General features: G+C 38.0%; 1 protein-coding gene across 11 annotated transcripts in view; it reads left to right on the top strand.

Moving 5' to 3' along the window:
- ARID4B (AT-rich interaction domain 4B) overlaps positions 1–22,993 on the top strand; it is a 161,278-nt gene that overhangs the window by 79,391 nt on the left and 58,894 nt on the right. For 9 of the 11 annotated variants that reach the window (NR_135074.2, XM_024447626.2, XM_047422531.1 and 6 more), the window contains exons 7-11: positions 2,278–2,369; positions 8,338–8,476; positions 14,297–14,376; positions 17,600–17,676; positions 19,404–19,558. Coding sequence is in view for 8 of the 11 variants with exons in the window: in XM_024447626.2 (XP_024303394.1) it covers positions 2,278–2,369; positions 8,338–8,476; positions 14,297–14,376; positions 17,600–17,676; positions 19,404–19,558 (543 nt within the window). In the remaining 3 variants the exon portion in view is untranslated. Of the gene's footprint in view, positions 1–2,277; positions 2,370–8,337; positions 8,477–14,296; positions 14,377–17,599; positions 17,677–19,403; positions 19,559–22,993 lie in introns of those variants that run through there. The other 2 variants (XM_017001472.2, XM_047422533.1) reach the window with 2 other exon arrangements.

Below are 22,993 nucleotides of genomic sequence, written 5' to 3'. Positions count from 1 at the left end.
ACTTTCCTGGACATTGAGATAGGGACAGAGATATTGCTTATGTTTCTTCTTGTTATGTACTAGGGAGAGACTGTGGTCTCTTATTTGAAAATTACTATGTGTGATTCTTAAACAACTCTTTAGAAATTTTCTTTCCTGTAGCAAGTGAAATGACTAACAGATACTTAAAATAGAAATCACACTGTGTGATATAAATCTCTCTCTCTCTTTTATTTTTCTGCTTTAAAGAGAGCAACCTTAATTTTCGGTGGGGAGAGCATACATTTAATCCATCTGTTTGCTTGACAGAAAGTGAATCCGGATTAATTTATTTTCCCTGTTTACCAAATAAAGTCATTTAGTAATACTCTATAGTGATACAGTATTACCAAAATAATATTTCAGATTACATAGAAATTTTCACCATAGGAGTTAATGACAGGCAACGTCTAGATTTTCCGGGTGGGTGTGGTGGCTCATGCCTGTAATCCCAGCAGTTTGGGAGGCCGAGTTGGGCAGATGGCTTGAGCCCAGGAGTTCGAGACCAGCCTGGACAACATGGCAAAACCCCATCTCTACAAAAAACAAAAATTAGCTGGGTGTGATAGTGCACACCTGTGGTCCTAGCTACTTGGGAGGCTGAGGTTGGAGGATCACTTGAGCCCAGGAGGTTGAGGCTGCAGTGAGCAATGATCATGCCGCCACTGCACTCCAGCCTGAATGATAGGGTGACATTCTGTCTCAATAAAAATAGTTTCTGTTTGGTATATACTGAGTTTAGGACAGTTTTTGCCTCCAAATAATTTTTATTTTTATTTTTTGAGATGGAATTTCGCTCTTGTTGCACAGGCTGGAGTGCAATGGTGTAATCTTGGCTCACCGCAACCTCTGCCTGCCGGGTTCAAGCGATTCTCCTGCCTCAGCCTCCCGAGTAGCTGGGATTACAGGCACCCACCACCATGCCAGGCTAATTTTGTATTTTTAGTAGAGACGGGGTTTCTCCATGTTGGTCAGGCTGGTCTCCAACTCCCGATCTCAGGTATTCCACCTGCCTCGGCCTCCCAAAGTGCTGGGATTATAGGCGTGAGTCACTGCACCCGGCCCAAATAATATTTTTTAAATGCCTGATTTAAGGTTCATTAGGACAGGGTTAGGTTCTGTACAAACTAAATTTGAAAGATTAGATTTTTTGCCCTATGAGAGTTGTGAAAGCTATGATTTTTGTCAGTCTTTTGAAGGAATCAATCTTTAGTTAATCCTTTATGGCTAGTACCTTTTTTCTTGATCATACTGTTCGTTGTTAGATACATACATCTATGTACCTTAAACACATTTACATATATTCTAATGAATTATGTAAAAAAGTGTTAATATGGTTCATCTTTTCACAGTTTTGTTCATTGTAGTTATAACAAAATTGTCTCAATTTTAAAAAAGTTATATAACATTTCTTTTTACATATTACATTAGTTTAGATGCCTGCTCTTTAATTCTAAGTTCATGGATACTCTTTCTTATACCACCCTGGTTTGTATCTTTAAGAAGTCTCTGTCTTAAATAGTTCCTCACTTTTATTTTCATCTGGGCAGTTTTCTTGGAAATCTCTAGTTGCTCTGATGTTTGTGAAATTATTTATAACAGGAAAGATTCTTCTTAGGATGAGGAAAGGAACAGAAACTGTGGAAAATCTTAAGAAAACGTAGGAAAGGAAAAAAATCAAATGTAGAAATTAAATGTAATTTAAAAAATTAAATTAATGTTACATTTTATTAAAAAAGGTTTATTGCAGAAAATGTTTGCAGAGTAGTAATATAACTTACTCCGAGGCTTTTTGTTCGTGCGATTGATGCTTTATCTTCATAATTAATTTTGTTTCTTATTAATAATTTTATTTTATGGATTATGATTCCCCATGTACAAATTAATATTGGAGCTGCAGTTGGCCCTAACCTTACAAATAGATTTCTTAATTCTCACATTTGTCTTTCCACTGAGCTGTGTTTGTTTTGTATTTTAATCATTCTTAGATGCCTATCAACCTTCACATAGGTAATGAATCATCTAGAGAGAGCAGCCAAATTTCTTTTCACTTTTTTTTTCCAGTAATGAGCTCATTCATCTTTATTCTAATATCTTTGAAACTAGAATTTTCTATCTTTAGGAAAGCTGTGTTTTAGCTTCCCTGGGGGGAGAGTTTAATCTCAAAATCTGAGCATATTCTTAAATTGATTTGGTTTAAAACAAAGAAGGCACTTGCAAAGTGTTAATTTTTTGATGGGTTTATGTTCTTACCCACAGACATTAGACCAGCTCCCACTCACCAACCCTGAGCATTTTGGCACTCCAGTCATAGGAAAGAAAACAAATAGAGGAAGAAGATCTAATCATATGTAAGTCCATTTTCATGACTGTTAGTTGAACCTGAATTCATTTCTCCTTCTAGTATTGTTTATAGTTATTTTAAAATTGTAATTTGCAAAATGCTAACCAGATCTAATAGTAATTTCGGATCTAATAGTAATTTCAGACTCCTCAGCATGGGTGATTGAGGTTCTCCATGCTCAGCCAACCTTACTTAACAGCTGTATCTGCCTTCAATTTCTCCCTGCATGTTATCTTGATGCTGTAGTCAAAATGAAACCAGTCAATAATTCCTGAATACATCGCTTGTTTTCTAATATCATGCTTTTATTCATGCTATTATTTTTGGTCTCCATGCCTCCCTTCCTGGTAACTGTCTTGTCCATGCCTTAATTCTCAACAAAAATGCTTAAACCTTTATGTGAACCATTTTGTGTCTCCCCACACTTTCCTTGAAACCAGAGATGTTTCTCTCCCCTGTAAACCCAATTCTCTGGCATAGTATGAACTGTGGAGCCAGTTGGTCTGGGTTTGAATCCTGGCTCTGCCACTTCCTTGCTGTGTGATCTTGGGATGGTTACTTAATCTTTTCATACCTCACTTCCTATCTATAAAATTTGGATAATAATATTACCTATCTCTTAGTGTTGTTGTGAAAATTAAGTGAATTCATATCCTTTAAGTGTTTATAGAGTAAATGTTACATAAGTACTAGATAATCAACATCATATACTGACATGAAAAATTTCATGATGAAATACCAGTATGTAACAGTTTCATTTATATATGAAAATGTGTTTACATGTATATATAAAAATTCTGCTTCCTGGTGTTTATGTCTGACAATTAGGACTGGTTCTTGCTGAATTATTCGAACTTTAAAAAATTTCTACGTTTTTATATATATTATAGGAAAAATAGTCTCTTATTTGTCAATAAGTTTTTTTAATTTTTAGAAGATTGCATCTAGTATTTAGACATATTTTTACGATTTTATACACATCATCCTAAAGTGTAAAAATAAATTTAAAAATGAATTTATTGTGCAATATCACGTAATATTGACCTGCAAATGTGACTAAAAATTATGATCTGTTAAAAAGTCAGTTATTTTTTATTTCCTCTTCTGTCGTTCCCCAACTGTTAGATGTTTCTTAGTTGAGGCGTCCGTTTTGTGAATATGAGAATAAAGCACGCATTTGTTGCTGAATAAGTTGATCTTTGCTTTCTAAAGACTCCAGCAAACATTCTAAGTTAGTGGTTTTCCTGTTGAGAATCTCTATGTGTAATGAGAGATTTGCTGTTGAGATTGTGTTATACATGTGTAAAGTATGAATGCAGACAAAAGGTTGAAGATTACTAGTGTAGGAATGAAGACCTGCTCCATCTGTAATCTTGTTTTGCTTGCTCTTCCTTGCCCTTCTCTACCACGGTTGGTCATTCTCACTGCCAAGGAACCTGACAATGTTACTCTTGCTTGGCGTTTTAAGCCTTGGTGTGTAAGCATTACAGGCAAGTACTACAGTTTGAAATGCCCATCTCCTTGATTACATTTCCTCAAAGTTCTTTCTCCCCTTTCTTCAAAGTGATTTTCTGCAACAAAGTCTTAAACCTAGATCTTAAGGGCATTCATCTGACCTTCATTTCCTCTTCCATTACTCCATTGAAAAAAGTCTTTGCTGTGATCTCAGATTGCCATTTAAAATGTATTTTTGTACAAAGATATGTAAAGTTATCTCTTCTTAGGATTCCCAGGACTTCGTTGTTGGAGTGATGTATCACCAAATTTGTTTTCTTTTAGCAGCTGTTATTCCACGTATCAGTTAATCTACCCCTAGTTATTCCAAAATTGATTACTTTTAACATCTTCCATTAAATTGAGTTTCAGTATATTCTACCTTTAATCCTAGTAAGTTCAAGTATTTTCTTTTTTTAATGATTATCATCCTCTAGCTAAATTTTTTTTAAAGCAAGTTATTGATTCTTTTAATCAATGTATTACTGGATTGAATTTTCTCCTTATAACTTACCCATTGTTTGCAGCGATTGTGTTTAAGTCATCCAGAAGAATAGAATACCTGAAATTATGGAAATACTTGTTTGTCCCTCTCCTCTTGAAGTTGTTTTCCCATAATCTGGCAAAAGTTTATGTGCAACTGCTACAATAGGAAAGCAGTCTATTTGCTGTTATATTTTTCCCCTTCAGAAAAAAGATAAAGCATAAGGTTTACAATGAATCTTGTTAACAAGGGATTATTTATGAGTATGGATTTTACCCAGTAACAGTGCTAAGATTTACCCAATACCTGGTTTATACTTGCTATTTAAATACAGGCCTGCAGATCTGAACACATTTTTAAATTAGTGTATAATTCATGTATCATAAAATTTACTCATATATTTTAATCTGTAGATTTGTATCCAATACTTCACCCTTTTAAAGTGTACAGTTTAGTGGTTTTTAGTATATTCATAAAATTGTGTAACTATCATCACTAATTCCAGAAGATCTTTTTATTTTGCCGCTTTATTTTAATATGAGAATTTGATTCATTTCCTCCTTGATAAAAATTGAGAAAAAAATTAAAACCCTTTTATAGTTAAGCGTACATAGGTTCTGTGTGTTTCTAAGAAGGTATGTATACGTTGTCAGTCTTCCAGATACTAATAGAACATTTCAATTTACAAAGTTTGAAACTGAGTAAACTGATTTGCCTAAAATAAAAAATAATCAGAATTGCATGTCAAAGGTTGAGCCTCTTGTTTCTAGCTCAATTTGTATCATTATTTGGTATTCCTTGGCCCATATCTTGTCTAAAGTTCGTCTTTCTTGATTTACAACTAATTAGAGTTAATAGTGAAGTGTGATCAGCTTTAAGTGATTGGCTGTTAGAGTATTATGGTAAAAATTTCCATGTAATTAGCTTTCTTTCTAGTGACATCATCAGATTTTATTTCATAGAGACAGCGCATTATTTTGTTGTGGCTCTACAAATACCTTGCCACCAAAGAAATAACAATGTCAGAAATGAATAAAAATCAAGCAGGCTCTCTGCTTGCTCTGTCTTTGCTCCTGTAAAATATTTTGGATGCTCATTAATTTTAGTTCATTAGTTTATTGAGTACCTGTGTAAACAGTTTTCTGGCTAAGCTCCTCTAAAAGGAAAAGTTAAGGAGCTTCATGTGTAATAGTATGGTTTACACTGATGTATACATTTTGTGATTTTAGAATAAAAATCAGAAATACCATAATAAAAAAATAAATGCATCTTTTTTATTTTATGAACAAGTATTTATTTAGCATCTATACTGTGCCAAGCATTGTTCAGGTACTTGAGATATATCAATAAACAAAAAAAAATTACTTAAAAAATCTTCAACTTGAGAGCTTACATTCTCTCAGGGGAGGAGATAGCGAATTAAACATTGGATTCACATACTTGGTGTGAAAAAAAAGAATAAACATAAGAAATAAGTAAATTATATAGTATGATAAAAGTGAATGCTGTGGAAATGAAGAGCAAAATGAAAAGAGGTAGATGGGCAGGGACTGTAAATTTGAATAAGGTGGAACAAAGTCTTGAGTAGGTGAGGGGGAAGGGGCATCTAGTCTAAAAATGGAGATGATTTTAGACAGGAACCTTGCAATTTTATATGTAAGGTGGATAGATGTTTCAGCTAGCTGAACAAAGGTGTTTTGTTTTTCTTTTTGATATACTGTGAAATCTGAAGTCTTAACACTTGTTAAGTCTTAAGAAAAGTTACAATTTTTACAATGATGCAGATAATTTTGTTAGTCAAATAAAGCCCAATTTTCTCTATGTTGTACAGATTTTGATATGTGTTATCTCTGACATTGTAGCTTTCTAGCTGCTACTGATAATAGAGTGTTCATAAACCCCTAGCTGAATGAGTCTTCTGTGGCTACTTTGAGAAAGCAGTAATTATGATTTTAAGCTTGGTTGTATCCTGTAGTCATTAGACAGTAAAAAAAGTCACTACTCTTAAGCTCTTGTAAATCAAGTAGAAATCAGACTTGTGAGGACTGTCGTTACTGTCCCAAGCTGTGTGTCTATGTGTAGGGTCTTATTCTCCACTAATGTAAAGGTGGTTGAGTTTTCTTATTGTTACCTACTTTCTAAGTAGAGATTGAACTTCTTTAAGTGCCATTGAAGTACAATACATCTTTTTTTTTTTTTTTGAGACGGAGTCTCACTCTGTCGCCCAGGCTGGAGTGCAGTGGTGCGATATCGGCTCACTGCAACCTCCGCCTCCCGGGTTCAGGCAATTCTCCTGCCTCAGCCTCCAGAGTAGCTGGGATTACAGGCACCCGCCACCATGCCTGGCTAATTTTTGTATTTTTAGTAGAGACGAGGTTTCACCATTTTGGCCAGGCTGGTCTCGAACTCCTGACCTCAGGTGATCCACCTGCCTTCGCCTCCCAAAGTGCTGGGAGTACAATACTTCCAGCCAAAGTACAGTACTTCTATTCAATAGCAAGCTTTGAAGATTTGCTTTGTTTCTGCCAGGGAACAATTTTTAAGTTATTTGACTGATCATTGAAATCAAGGGGGTGGTATTCCCCATGTCACTTTAAAAAGCTTAATATTATTATAATAGTTTTTACTTTTTTGGCCAGGTGGGGTGGCTCACGCCTATAATCCCAGCACTTTGGGAGGCGAGGTGGGCGGATCACGAGGTCAGGAGATCGAGACTATCCTGGCTAACATGGTGAAACCCCTTCTCTACCAAAAATACAAAAATTAGCTGGGCGTGGTGGCAGGCACCTGTAATCCCAGCTACTCAGGAGGCTGAGGCAGGAGAATTGCTTGAACCCAGGAGGCGGAGCTTGCAGTGAGCCAAGGTGGTGCCACTGCACTCCAGCCCGGCAACAGAGCTAGACTCCGCCTCAAAAAAGAAAAAAATAGTTTTCACTTTGTTTACATTTATATTGGAATATATAAATATAAAGGCATGACGGTTACTTTGTCATACTTTTGGAAAGGCATCAAAGACAACTTCAGAGTATACTAGATAGTATACTAAATAGGTAAATCATGTTTAAAGTTTTTTAGTAGTTTAATCTGTCAGTTTTCCTTTTTTGGGCAGTGAAACTGATCATTGCAAACTATCTGAAAAACACTTTTATCTTTGTAGGTATTCAATAATAGCCATTCTAAAAAGGACATATGTTGTTGTCCATCAAACATTTCCTAGTCTTTACTCATTCTGGGCATTTTCTTTGGTGCTGATTCTTTATTAGAATCAGATTCAAATTGGAATAGCTTTTTGTTTTGTTTTCCTTTTTACTACACTTTCCTCAAACATCAAGTTGATGGTTTCAGATACTTCCTTTTTCTTCTGACAGTTATCTTTCTAATTTACTAGTCCAATATTTAATGTTACTGAAAGGATTTTCTGTTTTTCTTTTAATTTTGAAAGTTTTTAGCATCATACAAAAGAGGCTTATTGGACATTTTATGAATACCTAATTGGTGTGTATTTGTTGTTATGGATAGCAGTGGTGATCTCTTTTCAGATTGCCTCCTCTTCCCAACCTAACCTCAGTTAATAAAGGTCTGCTCTCCTACCTTTTAAAATTAACTTTGTACTGGAGATATAGAATTACTGTCTCCAGAATTCCTTTAATTTGAGATTGGGATTGTGTATATTTTAGTGTAATACTGGGATGTTTAATATGGGGCCTTCACCTTTTTGAGGATTTGGGAACCAGTTATTTGTCCTGATCTTCCTCCTCAATTTTTTACAGTAGCACTAAATAAACCAGAAATATTTTTGGGAAAATGATGTGCTTTCCTCTCATGATAAACTCTTGCTGTTATTTTTTAGAAATTTAGAAAATGATTTAAGATTTAAATTAGCCATTTTACAGGTCTTAGGAAATGTAATAAGAGTTTGGGAATACCTATATTCATCATTGGCATGCTTATTCTTTGTGAGGATAAATGGAAATATTTTATTTTTTTCTCTCCCTAGACCAGAGGAAGAGTCTTCATCATCCTCCAGTGATGAAGATGAGGATGATAGGAAACAGATTGATGAGCTACTAGGCAAAGTTGTATGTGTAGATTACATTAGTTTGGATAAAAAGAAAGCACTGTGGTTTCCTGCATTGGTGAGTAGCTTCAGTATACAAGAGTTTAATTTCAAACTTTATAAGTTTATGAAGAAAACAATTTTCTTACTAATGTTTTTCATAGGTACAAAATGAGGAAATGTTTTTAGCATTATTTAGTTCACACTAAGCTTACTTTCAACGTTGTCTTTGAATACAAAGAACTCTTGATGTCATTCAGGAAAGGCAAAATCTTGATAATCTTAGAGGTTTAGCTATGTGGAAGTTGAATTCTCTCTCTCTCGGTAGAAAATTCATGATGCAAACTTTTAAAGCTCCTAAGTCCATGTAGGTCTAGATTGCAAAAGAACAACAGAATCTTTCTTGGTTGACAGGGATAACTAGACCTTTTCCTCATACTTAGTGAATCAGGGTGTTTCCATCCTTGATCTTAATCTTGCCTTTTAGGTACTCCCTATATAATCATGACTGCAATTATACATTACCCCACTCTTCAATTTTCTCTACAGTAGATTGTTAATTCTACCTACTTTTTAATGTTTTTCTCTCCAAAAGATTGCAATTCCTTAGATTCCAGGTTGAATATTTTGCATTTTTTCCTTGTTTTCTCACGTTGCCTTTTTGTGATTCTGAGGAGGTACTCAAGATTTATTATCAGGAGTATCCTCATGATTGTCCCAAGTTCTTGTATTTCAAACTGTTAAGACATGACAGAAAGCCTTTTGAGCTTTTTATCTCTCTGTTTTTCGTAACCACTAGCTTCTTTAGCAAGTTGAAAGGGCCATGTATAGACCATTTTCTTTGACTTTTAGAAAGGGAACATATACTAATATCTTTCACGGACATAACTAGGCTGCTTTTCAAATAATCTTTTGGTAGACAAAATAATTTGTAGCTCTTAAAGCAAATAGAGGTTCAACTAATAATTAGCTATATATGATACTTTAATGAAGATTTAACTCTGTGGCAATAAGAATGCATTTTTTTCTGGACAGCATATAATTGGATAAATCACTTAAGGTTTTAAATTTCAAGTAGGAGACTGAAGTTAATAATCAGTATCTCTTAAGAATTATCTTGGCTGGGGTGTGGTGGCTCACACCTGTAATCCTAGCACTTTGGGAGGCCGAGGTGGGCAAATCCCCTGAGGTCAGGAGTTCGAGACCAGCCTGGCCAACAGGGCAAAACCCCGTCTCTACTAAAAATACAAAAAAATTAGCTGGCTGTGGTGGCACATGCCTGTAATCCCAGCTAGGCAGGAGAATAGCTTGAACCCAGGAGGCGGAGGTTGCAGTGAGCCAAGATCGCGCCACTGCACTCCAGTGTGGGCGACAGAGCAAGATTCCCTCTCAAAAAAAAAAAAAAGAAGAAAAAAAAAGAATTATCTTGAACTCTTTAAAATTTTGATATGTCTGAATTGTCCTATGATGATTTTATCTGAAGACCATTGAGTCATTTGCATCAAACAGTGAGATCCACTTTTTTTTTTTTTCCCCGGAGACAGAGGCTTACTCCGTTACCCAGGTTAGAGTGCAGTGGTGTGATCCTGACTCGCTGCAGCCTTGACCTCCTGGGCTCAACAATTCTCCCACCTCAGCCTCCTGAGTAGCTCACACTACAGGTGGAGACCACCACATCTGGCTAATTTTTAAATACTTTGTAAATACGAGGTCTCCCTATGCTGCCCAGGCTAGTCTTAAACTCCTGGATTCAAGTGACCTTCCCACCTTGGCTTCCCAGAGTGCTGGGATTACAGGTGGGGGCTACTGAGCCCAGCCCACATCTTTTACAAATATGTCCTCCCCTCACTTCATATTTAATAAGCTATAAACTGAAGATCCGCTGATAAACAAAAGACACTTTGAAAGTACTATTCTCACGTTTGACAACTAATTTGTTCTCAAATATCGAGAGACAGAATGGGTCAAAATTATTCTCTGTCTCTGTTTTGTATGTTCTCACTCCCTTACTAAAAATAATTAGCCAAATTCTCCTCTAATGCTTTTTTCCCTTATGTTAATGACATTCAATAAAATTTTTGTGTTCTCAAGATTAACACATATTTGTTAGGTATGCATTTATCATATACCAAGTTCTGTTCAAAATATTTAACAAAGATAGACTCATTTAGTGGTGTAGAGGTTTTTTGTTCTCATGATTAATAAACTTTCCTTTTTTCTTTTCTTTTCTTTTCTTTTTTTTTTTTTTGAGATGGAGTTTCGCCCTTGTTGCCCAGGCTGGAGTGCAATGGTGCGATCTCGGCTCACTGCAACTCCGCCTCCCAGGTTCAAGTGATCCTCCTGCCTCAGCCTCCCGAGTAGCTGGTATGACAAGCCACCATGCCCGGCTAATTTTGTATTTTTAGTAGAGACAGCGTTTCTCCATGTCGGTCAGGCTGGTCTCCAACTCCTGACCTCAGGTGATCTGCCCGCCTCAGCCTCCCAAAATGTTGGGATTACAGGCATGAGCCAGCACACCCGGTGATGATTAATAAACTTTTCTCTACAATTTGTGCTTGAGAATCTGCTAACTCTTTATTCTCATTCTCTCATTTTCCTGCTCATTGACTAACAATTGCAGAGACTTAGAAATGGGATTAAAACACTGTCCTTTGTTTATATGTATTTGTATGAAAACTTATGTCCATAATATATATAAACTCTTTTGTATATTTGTGGTTTTTGTGCTAAACTAGGTAACCATGGTCTCAAATGAAAAAGAAACAATAGAACTACCTTTGTTTTTACTGTTTTCTACTTGTGATGTCCATTTACCCTTTTTAGTCAACATGTCTTATTTCTTTATCTCCACTGCTTAGTTCAGTGTTCGGCACAAATTAAATATGCAGTAAATGTCAGCTCTTGTAATGATAGTGAAAAATGAGGACAATTATTTGTTTTAATAAATATAAATATTTTATAATACCTTTGTACCTTCCTGTGTATCCAACATTTAGTGGATACCTATATGTACAAGGAGTGTGCTAACACCTATTATGAGATAGGTATTATTATTTATCCCGATGTAGAGATAAGGAAACTGAGTATTAGCAGGGTTAAGTTAGTTGCCACACTTTGGGTTAATTATTAAGCTGAAAAAAAGCATCAGTGTTTGCGATTCTTTCTTTCTTTCTAAAGCACTAGGAGTCTTTGTGAGTTTCTTTTGAAAGTATGTTTTAAGGCCAGCTGCAGTGGCTCACACCTGCAGTCCCAGCACTTTGGGAGGCCGAGGCAGGCGGATCACCTGAGGTCAGGAGTTCAAGACCAGCCTGGCCAACATAGTGAAACCCCTTCTGTACTAAAAATGGAAAAATTTGCAGGACATGGTGGTGCGTGCTTATAGTCCCAGCTACTCGGGAGGCTGAGGCAGGAGAATCGCTTGAACCTGGGAGGCGGAGGCTGCAGTGATCTGAGATCACACCACTGCATTCCAGCCTGGGTGACAGAGCAAGACTTTTATCTCAAAAAAAAAAAAAAAAAAAAAAAAAAATATATATATATATATATATATATATATATTTTTTATAAAACCGTTTTGTGGGCCAGGCGCGGCGGCTCACACCTGTAATCCCAGCACTTTGGGAGGCCGAGGTGGGCAGATCACTTGAGGTCAGGAGTTCAAGACCAGCCTGGCCAACATGGTGAAACCCTATCTTTACTAAAATACAAAAATTAGCCGAGCATGGTGGCGGGAGCCTATAATCCCAGCTACTTGGGAGGCTGAGGCAGGAGAATTGCTTGAACACGGGAGGTGGAGGTTGCAGTGAGCTGAGACCGTGCCACAGCACTCCAGCCTGAGTGACAGAGCAAGACCCCATCTCAAACACACACACACACACACACACACACACACACACACAACTGTTTTGTAAGTCTTTTTCTCAATAGGAACATTAAATTTTTTAATATTAGTGTTTTGAGTTATTAATTTAAGCTTCTCACACCATAATCACTAAAAAGTTTCTTTGACGAAAATGAAAAATCTAAGGATTTTTAATATTGAAAGGTTAGTAATCTGTTTAGTCAGCCATTTCACTGTTGTTTTTAAATTCTTAGAATTATTGATGTATGTTATCTCCTCCCAAAATTGAGATCCATTGGACGGTGATGGATAGTTTTTGGTAACTAGAGTGAAAAATTATGTTCTAAATCGACCAATCTTGATATAATCGCACAAATAGTATTTGTGTTTCTAATTTATGTTATTTTTATAAATCGAGTAAATTCAAAGTGTTTTAGTAACATCATAAGAAAACAGTTAACTGGGTCTGGGTGGCCTGTGCCTGTAGTCCCAGCTACTTGGGAGACTGAGGTGGGAGGATCGATTGAACCCTGGGAGGTTGAGGCTGCATTGAGTCGTGATCACGCCACTGCACAGAGTGAGACCTTGTCTCAAAAAAAAAAAAAGAAAAAGAAAAAGGAAACAACTACATAGTCCCAGGAACTATAAATAACTACCATGCACTGAGTATTTACCCTGACTAGGACTGTGCTGAGCTTATTAATATAAGTAGTATTGTTTAATCCTAATTGAGACTTACTCTCAGTCTCAATTTTTTATTTTCCAATTTCATTTTAAGAGGGGGAAATCTTAGATTCCATGGCTCATGCAGTTCTCCTTTTCAGTTTTTTTCACCAGGTTCTCCTCTTCTAATCACCCTTTCAAGCTGTAATTCAGGATTCAGAATGTATCGCTGTATTTTCTTTACGGTGATCTCATCTCCTTTTAAAGCTTCACCTTGCAGAGATAGCAAAGAGATAAAGTGACCAAGAAAATAACATACATGGGTGAATGGGATAAAATGCATATTGTCGTTCTGTGGCAGAACTGGACAGTGAGCCCACTTACTCATACACCAGTGTCATCACTGGCCAAAGCTATCACATGTGCAGTTTTCGAAATCCTTCGCTCATCAGGGAAAAGTAATGAGTGGATTTGGCTCACAAGCCCCAAGTTTTAGACCCCTAATATTTAGGCTGTGGGCTCTCAAATTTATATCCTTGAGTCCAGACCTCTACGCTTTGCTCCAGACCTGATTTTTCTGTTCACTGTCTTCATTTGGATGTCTTTTAGCCACCTAAAACTTAGTAGTCCCAAAACTCCTCTTATTATCCCTTCCCTCATGCACAAACTTGGCCCTTTTTTGTTGTTTTTCTTTCACAGTGAATAACTCTGTCATCTGCCTATTTGTACAAGGCAGAAAACTAAGCATCCTCTTATTGTTCATCTTTCTACTTCCCTAATTATCTTGGATATTTCTCATTCCTTTAATTTGCCATTGCCACCACTTTACATCCAAGCCACCACCTCTCACTCAGGTGATCACAGTAGCTTAGTTTCTTTGAACAGTTGCCTCTGCGTGGTCCATTTTCTTCATAGCAGCCAAAGTAGATTTTTAAAAGGAAAATCTATTATGACATTCTTTGGTTTCAGATTCTTTCAACAAAGATGTTAGATTTTATCCTAAGAATTAATATGGCCTACAAGGCTCTGGAAATTCTGGACCCTTGTTTTTTTCTTAGCCATGATGTATCCCTTCAGTTAAGGATCTAACTCTACCTTTTTTCTGTTTCTGACTAGAACTTCGTCCACAGCTTCATCCTAGTCATAGCTGTGCTTCTGCTTTCAATGCCTTGCCTATGCCAAAAATTCTAGATTATCCAGCAGCTGGAAGGATGTAGGATGCCAATTTAAAATTGCTTGTGTGTGCTCCCACGTGTGTGTGTGTGCCTGTTTACCCTCAAACTAAAATTAGTTTTTAAACTTCAAGCTTACACTTTTTAAAAGGATTTAAATGGTGGGTACTTACCTATCTATGAGTTCTTTTAGTTATAATAGCTTCACCCTTTTTCTTAAAAGGTGGTTTGTCCTGATTGTAGTGATGAGATTGCTGTAAAAAAGGACAATATTCTTGTTCGATCTTTCAAAGATGGAAAATTGTAAGTATAATTTACTTGGTTTGAAAAACCAGTTTATAAATATATGCTGTTATTTTGAATTAGGATGTTAAATGATTAATTAGTTATTTCCAATTACCTTAGGCTTTTATTTTTCATCATACAGAATGTTTCAAAGAGTCACTGTTTTTCATATTATCTTAATGTGTTGTAGTCTTATAGTATGTTTTTCCTTACTAATTTTGGTAATCTTTTCCAAACTAGACACTCAGTACTGTCTAATTTGTCAACACTTGTCCACATAATAGCTGGTTATTTGAGGCAAATTTGCCATATCTAATGTATTTAATACTTTATTGATTTTTTTGTTTTTTTTGAGACGGAGTCTCACTCTGTCACCCAGGCTGGAGTGCAGTGGTGCAGTTTCGGCTCACTGCAACCTCTGCCTCCTGGGTTCAAGCTATTCTCCTGCCTCAGCCTCCTGAGTAGCTGGGACTATAGGTGCATGCCACCGCACCCAGCTAATTTTTATATTTTTAATAGAGACGGGGATTCACTGTGTTGTCCAGGCTGGTCTCGAACTCCTGATCTCGTGATCTGCCCGCCTCGAACCCCAAAGTGCTGGGATTATAGGCGTGAGCCATCGCGCCCGGCCTATTGATGTATTTATTGACATTATTTCCTTAGGGTTTGTTCTTGATGGTCTAATTAGGAATTTCCAATACTTCTACTAGTTATGTCTAATGGTTATAGTGATACCTGTTGGATAATACTCAACTTTTGCAGTAGTCTGAGGATTAAAATGGGTTACTTGTATATGGATGGTAAGTGTTAAGAAAATGATTTGTTAATTTTTCTTTAAGAATTATATGACTAGAGAAGCCAGATATTTTATACAGAATTGTATTGGGTATAAATACCTTAAAAAGGTCATCATGTTTTAAGATTTGATGTTTGAATTTTCAAGTTCGGGAAAGGTATTTTTATTTTTAATTATTTTATTTTACTTTATTTCATTTTTTTGGTGAGGGTCTCACTCTTTCACCCAGGCTGGAGTGCAGTGACATGATCATGGCTCACTGCAGCCATGACCCTTTGGGCTCAGGTTATCCTTTCACCTCAATTTCTCTTGAGTAGCTGGGACTACACCTGGCTATTTTTGTATTTTTTGTAGTGATAAGGTTTCACCATGTTGGCCAGGCTGGTCTCGAACTCCTCAGCTCAAGCGATCCAAATGCCCTGGCCTCCCAAAATGCTGAGATTACAGGCGTGAGCCTCTGCACCCAGTCTGAAAAGTTAGCTTCAAAAACAGTATGTAGGCTGGGCGCGGTGGCTCACGCCTGTAATCCCAGCACTTTGGGAGGCCTAGGCAGGTGGGATCATGAGGTCAGGAGTGCAAGACCAGCCTGGCTAACATGGCAAAACTCCGTCTCTACTAAAAATACAAAAATTAGCCAGGCATGGTGGTGGGCGCCTGTAATTCCAGCTACTAGGGAGGCTGAGGCAGGAGAATCGCTTGAACCTGGGAGATGGAGGGTGCCGTGAGCAGAAATAATGCCATTGCACTCCAGCCTGGGTGACAACAACAAGATTCCATCTCAAAACAAAACAAAACAAAACAAAAAAAAATGTAGAACCAACTTTAACAAAATTGGGATAATCAGAGGAATTTGAGCACAGAAATTGAATATTGACTTAATATTAAATTGTTGGGGGGTAAGGAAAATGGGAAAACGTTAGTAAAACGGCACAAACTTTTATTGGTAAGATGAATAAAATGTACAGGATCTGATGTACAGTGTGGTAACTAGTATTCTGGCAGCCTCCCAAGTAGCTAGCACTACAGGTGTGTGCCACCACGCTCGGCAAATTTTTGTAGGGTTTTTTTTTTTTGCCATGTTGCCCAGGCTGGTCTTGAACTCCTGAGTTCAAGTGATCTGCCCACTTTGGCCCCCAAAGTGTTGGGATTACAGTTGTCAGCCACTGTGTCCAACCTTTATTTATTTATTTATTTTATTTTATTTACTTTTTTTTGAGATGGAGTTTCACTCTTGTTGCCCAGGCTGGAGTGCAATGGCGCAATCTCAGCTCACTGCAACCTCCGCCTCCCAGGTTCAAGCGATTCTCCTGCCTCAGCCTCTCGAGTAGCTGGGACTACAGGCATGCACCACCACACCCAGCTAATTTTTATATTTTTAATAGAGATGGGGTTTCACCATGTTGGTCAGGCTGGTCTTGAACTCCTGACCCCAGGTGATCCACTCGCCTCAGCTTCCCAAAGTGCTGGGATTACAGTTGTGAACCACTGCACTCAGCTCAACCTTTATTTTTTAAGAGATGGGATCTTGCTCTGTTGCCTACGCTAGAGTGCAGTGGCACGATCATAGCTCACTGTAACCCTGCCCTGGGTTTTTTCCAGTCAGCTCCCTGCCTCAGACTCCCAAGTAGCTGGGACTACAGGCACATGCCACCACTCCTGGCTAATTCTTTGCTTACTTTTTTAGTTTGTCTGTGGAGACTGGGTCTCGCTATATTACCTATCCTGGTCTTGAACTTTGGCATGAAGCAGTCCTCCCACCTTGACCTCCCAAAGTGTTGGGATTACAGGCATGAATCACCATGGCTGGCCCCAAACATTTTATCATTATATTGCCATAAATCGTTTTTGGCCGGGTGTGGTGGCTCATGCCTATAATCCCAGTACTTTGGGAGACTGAGGTGGGTGGATCAGTTGAGGTTAGGAGTTCAAGACCAACCTGTCCAACATGGTGAAACCCTGTCTCTACTAAAAATACAAAAATTAGCCGGGTGGTAGTGGCATGTGCCTGTAATCCCAGCTACTCGGGAGGTTGAGGCAGAAGAATCGCTTGAGCCTGGGAGGTAGAGGTTGTGGTGAGCCAAGATTGTGCCACTGCACTCCAGTCTGGATGACAGAGTGAGACCCTGTCTCAAAAACAAAACAAAACAAAACAAAAAAAGTTTTCAGTGTTGCATTTGGGCAGGGGACTCTGGTATTTGGGAACACGTTGGTGTTTATAAAATAGCTCTTATGGTAGGATCCTTCTGTAGATGATTACGTATTTTAACATCCTGTCTTGTATGTTATTTCTGACTTGCTACTCTGTGTGCAATCACTTTTATTGTAAACGTCAACATTCCCATATTTTCAGTATCTTTCTGTGATATGTAATCATCTGGATTCTTAATTAATCTCAGTCATATTTTGGGTTTTTTTTCTTCTCTTATAATTAAAAAAAATATATAGTACTTCAGTTCCAAGAAAAGATGTCCATGAAATTACTAGTGACACTGCACCAAAGCCTGATGCTGTTTTAAAGCAAGGTAAGGATAATCTTGGAATAAATTACAAGTACTGTAAAAACTGCTAAAGTGTTTTTGAAGATTAAATTTTTCTTTGCTCTTTAAAATTTTTCTTTAAATTATGTTTTTATGGTTATATTTGGTTCCTTGTGACCTTTATTTTTATAAACCCATGTGTCTTCTGTGTTATAAGTTTCCTTTTCTTTTTTTTTTTTGGAGACAGAGTCTTGCTCTGTCGCCCAGGGTGGAGTGGCGCAATCTCGGCTCACTGCAACCTCTGCCTCCTGGGTTCAAGCAATTCTCTTGCCTCAGCCTCCCGAGTAACTGGGACTACAGGCACACGCCGCCATGCCCGGCTAATTTTTTGTTATTTTAATAGAGCTGGGGTTTCACCGTGTTGCCCAGGCCGGTCTCGAACTCCTGAGCTCAGGCAGTCCACCTGCCTCAGCCTCCCGAAGTGCTAGGATTACAGGTGTGAGCCACTGCGCCCAACCATAGGTTTCCTTTTTTTTTCTGGTTTTTTTTTTTTTTTTTTTTTTAGCTTATAGTCAGGCATAATAATCTAGAATAATGGGAGAGAACTGTGTAGTCAGCTGTTACTATAATCTAGCTTTTGCCTGGTAAATAAAATATTAGTTTCTGGGAATGGTAGAAGAAAGGAATCAAAGTAACTTTGTGTTGTTGTTTTTTTTGTTTTGTTTTGTTTTGTTTTGTTTTGTTTTTTTGAGATGGAGTCTTGCTCTGTCGCCCAGGTTGCAGTGCAGTGGTACAATCTCGGTGCACCCTCCACCTCCCGGGTTCAAGCGATTGTCCTGCCTCAGTCTCCCAAGTAGCTGGGACTATAGGGGCCCACCACTATGCCCGGCTAATTTTTGTGTTTTTAGTAGAGACAGAGTTTCACCATTGACCAGGCTGGTATCAAACTCCTGAGCTCAGGCAGTCCACCCGCCTTGGCCTCCTAAGTGCTGGGATTACAGGCATAAGCCATCACGCCTGACTGAGGAATCAAAGTAATTTTGGTTTGGTATTTCTCACTAATGAATGTACATCCTTAACCACAAGGCTCCAGTAGTTTTATTTGAGGAATATGTGGTAATTGCATCTGTCACTTGATTTTTGGCACTGTAAATAGTTGTCTTCTCTTTGCCCTTATTCCTTGAATTCAGTAATATGCTATGTAGATTGGTTAAAATCATCAAGATTTTTTGGTATATAATTTATTCCCATATATTATAAAATGAGAATAATTGTGTCTAGCTAATTTTAGTTGAAGGTAATTGTTACCATAGTTTTAATTGAAGTTCAACTGAAAATGTAAAAATCATGTGTGGTCAGTTTTCAGGTATTGTATATTTATTTTAATGGCTCTGTGCCTGGTATTAATACTGTTTGATAATTGTTTGTTGCATAAGATATTACATGATTTCCTGTATTAAAGGTTTTTACTAGTGAAGCTTAATCTTTGTTTAAAAGAATAAAACTGCTGTTCTTTTATTTATTTAAACTTAAGTAATCTTCCAATGGTGGCAGTTTTGCCATCTATAAAATGACTACCTAATGCATAGGATGGATAGGATTAAATATATTGCTACATTTAAAAGCACTTAACACAGTTTCTGGTACATAGCAAACAATAAATGTCAGTGGTATTAGCACAGTAGTTTTTATTTCTTTATCGTGTTTAATACTTTTTGAGAAAACAATTGTCTTAATTTCTTCAGTTCATGTACCTTGTGGTCTGTTTCCAGCCTTTGAACAGGCACTTGAATTTCACAAAAGTAGAACTATTCCTGCTAACTGGAAGACTGAATTGAAAGAAGATAGCTCTAGCAGTGAAGCAGAGGAAGAAGAGGAGGAGGAAGATGATGAAAAAGAAAAGGAGGATAATAGCAGTGAAGAAGAAGTAAGTGAAAACAGTTGATACCTTTTAAAATTATAAATAACAGTTGGGTTTCCCTTGTGGGTTAGGATTTGGCATTAAGTCATTACTCATATAAGTATTTTTAGTATGAGAAATATTTCATAATCTTGTATTTGAGATCCTCATAATCAGATAGTTTACTTGGTTACTTTAGATATATGATCTTGTGAAATAGAAAATATTAAGCCTGATTTTCCTAATAACCTCAAAAACATGTCTTAGTCTTCCTATGCTTTTTTTAATGAGATGATTAAGAAAGTATCCACCAGGCTGGGCGCAGTGGCTCAGGCCTGTAATCCCAGCACTTTGGGAGGCCAAGGCAGGCGGATCACGAGGTCAGGAGATCGAGACCATCCTGGCTAACACAGCGAAACCCCGTCTTTACTAAAAATACAAAAAATTAGCCGGGGGTGGTGGTGGGCACCTGTAGTCCCAGCTACTCGGTAGGCTGAGGCAGGAGAATGGCATGAAACCGAGAGACGGAGCTTGCAGTGAGCCAAGATCGCGCCACTGCACTCCAGCCTGGGCGACAGAGCGAGACTCTGTCTCAAAAAAAAAAAAAAAACGAGAACAAAAACAAAAAAACTTACCATCTAGGCCAGGCACGGTGACTCACGACCATAATCGTAGCACTTTGGGAGGGCAAGGCAGGTGGCTAACTTGAACTCAGGAGTTTGAGACCAGACTGGGCAACATGGTGAAACCCCATCTCAACAAAAATAAAAATAAAAATAATTAGCAGGGCATGTCAGTGCACTCCAGCCCCAGTGCACTCAGTAGCCCCAGCTACTGAGGAGGCTGTGTTGGGAGGACGGCCTGAGCCCTGGAGGTGGAGGTTGCAATGAGCCGTGAATTTACCACTGCCCTACATCCTGGGTGACAGAGTGAGACCCTGTCTTATTAAAAAAAAAAAAAAAAAAAAAAAAAGAACCTACCTACCTAATTCTTTAAAATGCTTTTCATTACCATGTTGACAGCTGTCACCTCATGAAATGCTTACATCTCCATATTTTATTGATTAACCCAGAAAAGTATAAAATACATCTTTCATTTAATATTTAAAAGAAAAATCAGGCCGGGTACTGTGGCTCATGCTGGGATGACTAATCCTAGCACTCTGTGAGGCCGAGGCGGGCAGATCATGAGATCAGGAGTTCGAGGCCAGCTTGGCTAACATGGTGAAACCCCGTCTCTTACTAAAAATACAAAATAATTAGCCAGGTGTGGTGGTGGACACCTGTAATCCCAGCTACTCGGGAGGCTGAGGCAGTAGAATTGCTTGAACCCGGGAGGCGGAGCTTGCAGTGAGCTGAGATTGCGCCATTGTTCTCCAGCCCGGGTGACAGTAGGAGACCCCGTCTCAAAAAAAAAAAAAAAAAAAATAGCAGAAAAGTAAAGATCAATATCTCTTTGATTCAGAGAATCTTGAATCATTTTATCTAAGACAAATGGGTAGATAGTTCTGATTAGATCATAAATAAGCCATAAAATATGGCTCAAAGAGCTCAAATTTTGGATTTTATTTTACCTGGAGCTTTAGATCTGGCAGTGACAAGGTACTCTTTAATGGTTTGCTGAACAGCCTCGTAAAAGTTAATGAGTGGTGCAGATAGTGAAGGCTGCTATATTTGACCATGAAATGAAATGTATTTAATGTGTTTAGTAAATTAATTGGTCAGTATGTAATACTTTAGGTAAGTTATGAAATTCTGCCTTTTAACTGTAGTAAAGTATTAATGAAATGAGATTGTTTTGGAGGTTATATTTTAGGGTGTAGTGATCTGTAATGACAATGTATAATGTAGAAATTTCCCTGCTTCAGTCTTCTCCCTGACTGCTTTCTATTTAAATTGCTAAAATCAGCAATCATTCCCTTGCTGCTAAAAACCTCCTGAGTAGCTTTTTGTCACTGTAAAAGTTAAGCTTTCATATAGAATCTCCTTTATAGTCCAATTCCTGCCTCAATTTTTTCTCATCATTTCCCTTTCTGTGTCCTCCCCCTTGAACTTTATGCTATAGCAATGTCAAATTACATATGTTGCTGCTACTCACCTTTGCATATGCTAGTACCTCTGTAGGCACCACCTTTTCCTCCCCTCCTTCCTTAGTCAGCATGGTACATTCCTGTTCAATTTTCAGAACCCTACTTAGGTGCCATCTCTCTAAAGAGAAACCTGTGAACCATCACCTCCCTCACCTCAGGAAAGCACCAGTTCATTTGCTAGTCTAAACTACTACTGCTCCTGGCAGGCACGGTGGGTCATGCCTGTAATCCCAGCACTTTGGGAAGCTGACGCTAGCGGATCACCTGAGGTCAGGAGTTTGAGACCAGTCTGGCCAACATGGTGAAACCCCGTCTGTACTAAAAATACAAAAATTAGCTGGGTGTGGCTGGGCGCGGTGGCTCACGCCTGTAATCCCAGCACTTTGGGAGGCCAAGGCAGGCAGATCACCTGAGGTCAGGAGATCGAGACCATCCTGGCTAACATGGTGAAACCCTGTCTCTACTAAAAACACCAAAAAATTAGCCGGGCATGGTGGTGGACGCCTGTAGTCCCAGCTACTCAGGAGGCTGAGGCAGGAGAATGGTGTCAACCCGGGAGGCGGAGCTTGCAGTGAGCCGAGATCACGCCACTGCACTCCAGCCTGGGTGACAGAGCCAGACTCCATCTAAAAAAAAAAAAATTAGCTGGGCGTGGTGGCAGGTGCCTGTTATCCCAGCTACTAGGGAGGCTGAGGCAGCAGGATTGCTTGAACCCAGGAAGCGGAGGTTGCAGTGAGCCGAGATGACACCACTGCACTCCAGCCTGGGCGACAGAGCAAGACTCTGTCTCAAAAACAAGACAAAACAAAAAAAGAATTACTACTGCTCCTTATACATATTTTTGTCATTTATATTTATTGTCTATTTTTTCTTCCCCACGAATTTGTAAGTTCCTTAAAGTTAGGAATGCTGTCTTACTCGTATTCATACTTAAAGTGTCTGTCATAGTGTGTAAAATATAACAGATGATAAATAGCTACCAAACCTTTTGGTGCTTAGTGTTTTCACAAGTGTTTTTGTAAAAGCAAATCTGTAGTGTAGTGTAAACATTTTCTTGAGTTAAAAGCTTACCTTAAATGTTTTTGGAATAGGAAAAATTGTGCTGTTTATTAAAGTTAAATATTGTACCATGGGAACATTTAAGATAACATCTAGAAAATAGATGTCCTTAGATTTGTATTTGATCACCTTACCAAAACCTGAATGTATGGAGTGTGTTTAAATTGAGAAATACAGATTCATCATTAGCAAATTAATGGTTGTCATTTATTTTTCTCTGCCCAATTAGAAAACCTAATAGTTGATCAACATAGGCTTTAAAAAAAAAATTACCTTTCTTTGTTGTACTAGCTTTTAAATTAAAAAGACAATCT

This window comes from Homo sapiens, chromosome 1, assembly GCF_000001405.40.
Source record: "Homo sapiens chromosome 1, GRCh38.p14 Primary Assembly".
Taxonomy (NCBI): Eukaryota; Metazoa; Chordata; class Mammalia; order Primates; family Hominidae; genus Homo; species Homo sapiens.
The sequence above is the reverse complement of the archived record's forward strand: the minus strand, read 5'-3'. Positions and strand labels throughout refer to the sequence as shown.